Source organism: Homo sapiens, chromosome 1, assembly GCF_000001405.40.
Source record: "Homo sapiens chromosome 1, GRCh38.p14 Primary Assembly".
Taxonomy (NCBI): Eukaryota; Metazoa; Chordata; class Mammalia; order Primates; family Hominidae; genus Homo; species Homo sapiens.
The window spans coordinates 184,597,895-184,606,657 of record NC_000001.11 but is presented as its reverse complement, the minus strand read 5'-3'; the positions used below and the strand labels follow the sequence as shown (position 1 = coordinate 184,606,657).

At 39.9% G+C, this 8,763-nt stretch overlaps 1 protein-coding gene across 1 annotated transcript in view; it reads right to left on the bottom strand.

Annotated features, from left to right (window-relative positions):
- The window catches only part of C1orf21 (chromosome 1 open reading frame 21), a 241,991-nt gene that overhangs the window by 22,362 nt on the left and 210,866 nt on the right, over positions 1-8,763 (bottom strand). The window contains exon 5 of the mRNA NM_030806.4: positions 8,197-8,257. Coding sequence (NP_110433.1) covers positions 8,197-8,257 — 61 coding nt within the window. The remainder of the gene's footprint in view (positions 1-8,196; positions 8,258-8,763) is intronic.

The following is an 8,763-nucleotide window of genomic DNA, read 5'->3' as shown; positions in this document are numbered from 1 at the left end:
TGGAGCCCCTTTCCTAAATTTTTTTTGTTGTTGTTACAAGCATATTTAGGCTGATAGTAATACTTTTTTGTTTTTTAAGAGACAAAGTCTTGCTCTGTCACCCAGGCTGGAGTGCAGTGGCACAATCACAGCTCACTGCCACCTCAAACTCCTGGGCTCAAGTGATCCTCCTGCCTCAGCCTCTCAAGTAACTGGGACTACAGGTGAATGCCACCATACCTGGCTAATTTTTATTTTTATTTTTTGTAGAGACAGGGTCTTGCAATGTTGCCCAGGCTGGTCTCAAACTCCTGGCCTCAAGTGATCTTCCCACCTCAGCCTCTCAAAGTGTTGGGATTACAGGCATGGGCCACTACACCTGGCCAATGAATATCTTTTAAAAGGCTTATAAAAGCCTTTCAAATGAGACACAACAATTAAGAGTAAAACTTCCAAACAGAAAAAAATATATAGGGATTCAGCTGTAGCTGTATCCATGCCACTGACTCACTGACTCATTCTGTAATCACAGCTCGAAAGTTAGCACAGGTTATTTAATGGCTCTGTAAGTGTTCACAAGAATCTAACTCCTGAACATGTTTATTACACCACATAGGAGGGAGGTGGATGAATACACTGGAAACTGTGCGATTCTACTACTCTTTCTACAAGGAGATATTTGTACCGTAGGAAGGCACTTGCTCACGCAGGATCCAAGTTTCTAAGTTCTGCATTTTCAGGTTCGGTTTAGCACCACCCCCAACAAGCCCATCCCAAATCCTTCCTGTATAAATGGCCTTGATGGTACAAACACAGGCGACTTCAACCAAAATGAAGGCTACCAATTACAGAGCACATACAACACAGCAAACACTACTGGAGACTCTGTGTATTTTCTTCAATATCCCAGACCAGTTAGTATTATTTCTCAAATTTTATTGGTGAGAAAACTGAGAATCAGAGAGTTTAACTTAACCTGGGGTCACACAGCTGCTGCCAGAGCCAATCCTTGGCTTTGGCCCAGGTTTGAAGCATGGGCTCTTTCTCTTGCACCATGCTGCCTCCTTCCCTTGGCCTCTATCAATCCAATTATCTGGCACTGTGCTTGCTCTATACCTGCTACGCTGCTCCAAGTAGAGATGTCTACTCTAGGAGTCTTCCAGGTAACATTTCCTGCCTTTGTATGCTTCTGTCTCCATTTGAAGCCCAGTGTTCTTATCTGCACCATTCACTCATTCAACAAGTTTCTTAAGCATCTGTTTTGTCCCAAGCCCTGTGCTAGGTTCTGAGGAAACAAAGACAAATGAGACCCAATTCTTATCCTTAGGGAGCTGTCAGTCTAAAGTGAGTCCTTTTAGATGTTCGTAAATAACAATGCAGTAGTTACCAAGAGTGGGACCCTTCTCTCCCTGCGTGTTCTCTGCAGGGCTGAAGCAACATCCATGACTGCCAAACCTAATGAATGGAAAGGTAATGGGAAGGAAGAGAAAAGGATAGCTGAAGAGAGGGCAAGGAGAAGCTGAATGAGAACTAGTCAAGGGAATGAGACACACCAACATTCCTGTTACTCTCAGTTGTACCTTGGGTTTCTTTCCTTGTCCAAATACTTGCATCCATGGCAAAATGATACCATTCACTGATTGTGCCTCACACTGCTATTGAGTTCAGAGTGTTGTTGGCCACACCTGATGCACAGAAATGGCGTGGTTTTTATTTGGACTCATGACTATGTTGCATTAGAAACTGAACTCTCCTTTTCTTCTTGCTCCCTAAAGAGCCAGGCTGATAGATCCTCAAGAATTTTCTGAAAATCAAGCCCTCCAGAAAAAAGAAAGTGTGTTGCATTTCTTTTCAGCTTGTTGCCTGACTCATTTTCCTTGACAGACTCATCTACTACTGTTAGCTGGATGGGCATGCAGGATCCTAAAGCCCAGAGTATGCACACACTTCACCAGTGGTTCCTACACCAGTGTCATCATCATGACAATTAAGAAGTCATTTGCATAAAACTATGCAGTAGAGATAAAACCAAAACAGACTGAGTCACATCCTTGCCTGTTGTAATTATAGCTCTAATTTGGCTGAAGAATGAGGAAAGGTACACTCAGAGGAGAGAGATGGCAAGGCAAGGTGATGAAGGGAGAGGAGACAAAAACAGACTTGGTTATGAGCAAAGCAACTTGGTTAAAATATGTTTACCATGGAGCAAGAAATTGTTTCATGGAATGACGATGGCAGCCCTGCCCACTGCTAAACTACATATGCCAGCAAGAGTATCTCTCTGCCAGTGCTGAAGGCTTTGGTTGCTACTGAAAGTGACAACCTGCTGGGTGGGAGGAACACACCATGACTTTCTCTGCACACGTGGGGCAGGTCATGTTACATTGTTTAGGTTTTGACGTGACAGTCCCAGGTTTTCTTATCATTGGTGGGCACTAAGCAGGTCTTTACACACACAGTTAAAAAAATAAAACCCATCATCATATCCACCACATCTGCCAAACAATTATATTTGGTTCTGTAACAACTCTGAGGTTTAATAGACTACAGAAATCGTTTACACGTAGAACCCAACATCATAGTTCACAACTATGTGCAAGTCACTCTCTTCACTGGATGAAAAGCAAACGTCTTCTGATCTCTGACACACCGACTCATAACATGGATCAGACTAATCTGATGTACTGTCAGTAGACAATTCTTGAAAAAAATTTACGAATGCAGATTTACCATGACCTTTTTCACCAACCACGTTAGTTCTGAGGCCATGGAAATAATGCCACTTCAAGAACTCCAACATTTTGTAAGTGTAAATGACTGTTCAATAGATGTAGAGGTCTACAGACAAACAAATATCTTTTATTTATTTTTATTTACTTTTTTGACACGGAGTCTTGCTCTGTCGCCCAGGCTGGAGGGCAGTGGCGTGGTCTCTGCTCAACTGTAACCTCCACTTCCCAGGTCCAAGCGATTCTCATGCCTCAGCCTCCCGAGTAGCTGGGATTATAGGCGTGCACTATCAGGCCTGGCTAATTTTTGTATTTTTAGTATAGACAGGGTTTCACCATGTTGGCTAGGCTGGCCTTGAACTCCTGACCTCAGGTGATCCACCAGCCTCGGCCTCCCAAAGTGTTGGGATTATAGGCGTGAGCCACTGCACCCAGCCAAACAAACATCTTTTAAAATCAGCTGATTTAAGTCCACATACTGCTCTTTCTCAGAGTTTTTCTGAAATGTCACATTGAATAATGTCAATCAACAGAGCCAGAATCTCAAGATCACACAGGAATATGTGAGATGCACTAGGCATGCTCATGGCTCTCCCTCAGGAGACTGTGAACTATTTTTACAGACAGGAAGGAGGGGATATAAGAAAGGAAGAAGAATGAGTTTGCATGGTGTCATCTGCACTCAATTCCCTAATCCTCTTTAAAGTCACAACTATCTATGGATAGGGTCGCCAGCTAGGCTCATGCATGCTCATGACTGCAGCTGGGCCCTGGATCTGACGGAAGCACACCAGCAAAATACATAAGAAAGAAATCCAAAGTTTCTTTGCCTGGGGCCCATGGCCAGGCTCCATGGAGTCTTAAAACCCAGAAATTATACTTAAAAGTTTTGTGTATATGATTTGTGCATTTTCATAGGGAGAGTCTTTGTAACTTTTGTAAGACTCCAAAAAGATGTACAAGGCCCAACAAAGTTTAAGAAGCCTTTCATCAGAAACAGTAATCAGGTGCAAGTGACATTGTACTAAGATACTCTTTATTTAATATTCAGGATCCTCTTTGAGGAAGCCAAGGACTCCCTGGTCATCAGCTAGGGTCTTACATCTTCATAAAGCAAAATGTAAATCCCTGTTTTGCCTGTAGAAGATACTATTATTGCAGATACCTAAAAAATTTATTTATTTTTTCTGCTTTTTACAAACAAACTGGAATGTATAGTGGAAAGCATATCTTAACATCTGATGTCATCTGTATTTGGTGCTATATTCAGAAACTCCTCCACAGGCTACTTTAATCTAGATACTGTCTTCCCTCTCTAGGTACAGTGAAAAAATGAAGTTTAAAATCACTATTTTGCTCCACAGAAAACTGTCATTTTCTTAAAGCTGCAAAGTTAGGCAAATGCTAACACTTCAAAAAAGATTCTAGGAGCCTGTGAATCATGAGTTACAATAGTAACTATAGATTCCAGTGGAATAACGATGGTTAGATAGCAGAGTAAAAAATAATGAGGTGAACAGAAATTAGGTGGCTCCCACTGGTTCACAGTGTTTTTACTCTCCAAAAGGAAAAGCAAAAGTAAATCAGATTACAAGCTTCTTTGAACTTTCACTGCTCTCCTGACAATCTGTCTCTCTTGGTCATCTCCGGTCGCAGCAGAGTGTTGTGGCCTCCCACCACCAGCATGTGAAATGGTACCAAGTCCCAAATCCCTGGTTAAAGGACCTGAAGTTCCAACCCCTGAACCAGCTTAGAAGGCAAATAGTTGTGTTCCACGGAGGAGAACCTCACTCTCAGTGACAATAGCAGGGTGAGGGTGAGGATGGTGGTGGTGGTGATGGGTGAAGTACTCCTTGATCAGAAAAATAATTAGATTTTTTTAAAATTCACTTTTAAAATTGAACTTGTCAAAGCAATGGACTGTTTACTATTTATTTATATTGTACTCTATAATTCCTATCTAATTTTGTATCCTCAGTAACTAGCATAATGCTTAGTGTAGTATTCAGTAGGTGCTGAATCTTATTTTATTTTATTATTTTTTTTTTTGAGATGGAGTCTTGCTGTGTCACCCAGGCTGGAGTGCAGTGGCAGGATCTCGGCTCACTGCAACTTCCACCTCCCGAGTTCAAGTGATTTTCCTGCCTCAGCCTCCTGAGTAGCTGAGACTACAGGCGTGTGCCACCACGCCCGGCTAATTTTTGTACCTTTAGTAGAGATGAGGTTTCACCACGTTGGCCAGGCTGGTCTTGAACTCCTGACCTCATGATCCGCCCACCTTGGCCTCCCAAAGTGCTGGGATTACAGGTGTGAGCCACCGCGCCTGGCTGAATCATTTTTTTAAATTGCATTTCTGCTACCTGCTTTTTATTGATCACCATAACTTCTTAGAAAACCACTTGTTCAGCTGTGGTGCAAAGGTAAACAGCAGCTCTGCACTGTGACAATCTCTGAATTAGAGTAGTCCAAAATGTGCAAATTAAGTTTTACTATAGATATGAAACCACCTTTCAGTCCTGGTTTCTGTATACTAATGGTGCTTTTACATCTATTTTGAGGGAGATAGAGCAGAAATTTGTTTTTTGGTATCCAATAACAAATTAGGTTAGAAGGTAAATTCAAGCCATGCCCTAAAGACATCCAATAAATGCAAAGGCTGCATCAAGGAAGGGCACATTTACATCTCCATAGGTTTAGTCAGTTTTGCTTCTTATTAATTTAAGGGAGAAAAAAAGAATTACTAGTCACTTCTGGGAGAGATGAAATCTTAAAACTCAAGGTCTCTCAGCATGACTCAAATCTCTCAACATGAAGCTCTAGGTGAGTTTAATCTTCTTTTTGTTTTTAACCAACTCTGTAAAATCTAAATAGATTTGACTTGCATTTATGGTTGTCCTCATGCTAGCCTGGACCAAATAAATATTTAGCAATGGTAAATGACCAGGAAAACAATTTGGAAGAAATTTGGAAGAATCCAGCTTTCAATTTTGGTTATATAAACGATGGCAGACTACATTAAGCAAACACATATATTAAGGAGGAGCATTTTAATTTTTGGAGGCTTAATGTTTAAACGACACATAAGATAGCATATTCAAAATATTTGGAAGGATGAGCTTTAAGAGAGGAGAGGCAGGAAAGCATGGCTCAGAGAGGAGAGAAAATTGCCTGTAAGAATCTACAGCTGGGTACCTGTCATGGCTGATATAGGAGCTCTTCTTCCAATGTAAATGTATTCAATAGTGGAAACAGTGTTTATGTTGAATCTACCAATGCTCTTTTGTCCAGGGAAGCTTCCATCCAACGAATGATCAAGTTATAAACTTTATTTTTGTTTTACTCTACATTCTGGATTACTCTTTATTTTGTTGTACTCTACATTCTGGATGCAAAAGCAAAAGGGGATCTCAGATTTCAGGTGGGAGCAATGAACTTCAATTCTGAGTAAAAAGAGTTAGAATTTCAATTACCAAAACACACTGGGCCAGGCACGGTGGCTCAACGCCCATAATCCCAGCACTTTGGGAGGCTGAGGTGCGTCGATCACCTGATGTCAGGAGTTCGAGACCAGCCTGGCTGACACAGTGAAACCCTGTTTCTACTAAAAATACAAAAATTAGCTGGGCGTGGTGACACACACCTGTGATCCCAGCTACTCAGGAGGCTGAGGCAGGAGAATCACTTGAACCTGGGAGGCAGAGGCCAGAGTGAGCTGAGATTGCACCACTGCACTCCAGCCTGGGTGACAAGTGAGACCTCGTCTCAAAAAAAAGAAAAAAAAAACCCACATTGGATATAGATTATATCATTTTAAGTGTTTGTAAGTGTTGTTTAAAAAGATAACTTAAAATTCAGGTTTCAAGTTTTACCATCTACCCCTAACTACTACGCAAATCTTTTTCTTGCCAAAAAGCTAGTGGGGGGAAGTCCAAATAAAGAAAGGAAGAAAAGATCTTCATCGTTTCAGTGGGAAGAAAATACAGGTTGAGTATTCCTTATCTGAAATGCCTGCGGCCAGAAGTGTTTTGAAGTTCAAACGTTTCCGAATTTTGGAATATCTGTGTTATATATACTTACTGGTTGAACAACCCTAGTCCAGAAATTGAAAATGCTCGAGCATCATGTCTGCACTCAAAAAGTTACAGATTTTGGAGCATTTTGGATTTCGATTTAGGGATACTTAACCTGTATTTCTTTTTATGCTTCTCTTTACTAAAAAAGGTTACTGACAAATTGAACAGCTTTTGAACCAATATGTGAAACTTGGCAACTGTTCCTGGATGAAGTTTCCAACTTAAAAAGTCATTCATAAGCCACAATTCCACTGAAAATAAAAAAAAATTATTATACTTTAACAAGTATTTATTTATTTACATCCAGGGAACATTATAGATTTAACTCTCATTTTAATTCATTATCCATCTCTATTTTTCGCATTGGTGACCTTTGCTGGTCTTTTAATGGTGGCTTAGAAGATGATACAATTATTCTCTCAGAGGGTCCATGTCAAAGTGGGATCTGCTGCTAAATAATACTAATGAATTTAAGACCTTCTTCATTATCTTCTGTTGAGTGATATACATCATAGCTTAGAAATTCATAAATAAATACTAAAATAAAAGGACAACACAAAGTAAAAAACAAATACAAATTAAAACAGAAAGATTTCAAAGGTAAAAATCAGCCTGTCACACCTTAACCATAGTGTGATATGTTCTGAACTTAGAAGTTCACTCTTCTTTAGAATAAAAAAATTATAATACTCGGATTTGTATCTTTACCATTTAAGATTCACCCCTTTGAAGAGATGAATTTAAATTCTGTAAGTATGTAAACTCTTAATTATGACAGATCGACTTTGTATCTTACTGTCAGTATAAATCCCCACACACTACCAGAGAAGCAACTTGGAGACACTGCTTTGGAGTCAGACAGACCTGGGCTGGAATTCCAACTTGTCCACTATTAGCCTTGCAAATCTGGGTAAATTACTCAAGCATTCTGAGCCTGTTTCCTTCTGTAAAATGTAGATAATATCTGTCTCAATGCCATTTTCCTAAGTATAAATTGAATTAGGTATAACATGCTTGCAAAGAACTCAGATCAGTGCCATGCATAGGCCCTCGATAGGTTTCAGCAGGTACTATGGGCCCCCTTGCAGTCGGAGGTTAGTGCAGGGTACTGGGTGCAAAATGACATGCAGTGGTCAGAATGCTCGGTCTAGAAAAAAAGACTGCTTATTGCTTTCCAACTGACTTCACATACTTTAATAGGCAAGGACAGTCCTGGGTCCTGGGAGTGTCTATTATACCTTAAACATTCTCACATGCACTTTATTTTGGAAGGGCGGTGACTTTTATTTAACTCTCCACCCAAACCTTCACAAAAATAGCTTTATGACATAGAAACAAGAATGTTATTGCCCTCACATATGAAGCCATTACTATACTTCCCTTGAAACATGTAGGTTATTTATTTCACTTCTTACCTTTTCAATTTTTTCATCCAGCATTCTGAAGAATTCTTGTTGGCTTTCAGAGATGTGCATGCTGAAAAACAAAGGGTAGTTAAGTGCATATTTTAGTGCTTTGCTAAACCTGGTCCCCTCAAAGGAAAAATGCAGAGTCCCCAAACTTTGGGGAAGACATTTATTTATTGCAGACTTTTCCACTGAAATACTCTGAAGTTACATTAAGGATAAACAGTACAGTAATCCTGCAAATGTGTTTCATAATTGTCTATCAGTGCCTATGACTTAAAGGAAGACAATTTCCTTTCAATGTACAGATGCTATTTATAGTAATGTTACTAGGAGCTGAATGCCAAATTGTTTCTTCAGATACACATTTGTGATTTAAAAAAAAAGCATGAGCAAGCAGCATAAGGCATATTTCAACAGTGTATTGAAAAAAATAAAAAAGAAAATGTATCCTAGTTATTGTATTGAAATATATATTTTACAAAGGTTATCAGTATCAGCATGATCTCCAGCTGACTATGGGTGTGGGCCGGTGGCAAACAAGCTGAGGACATACAGATGACCTGATATTACTAC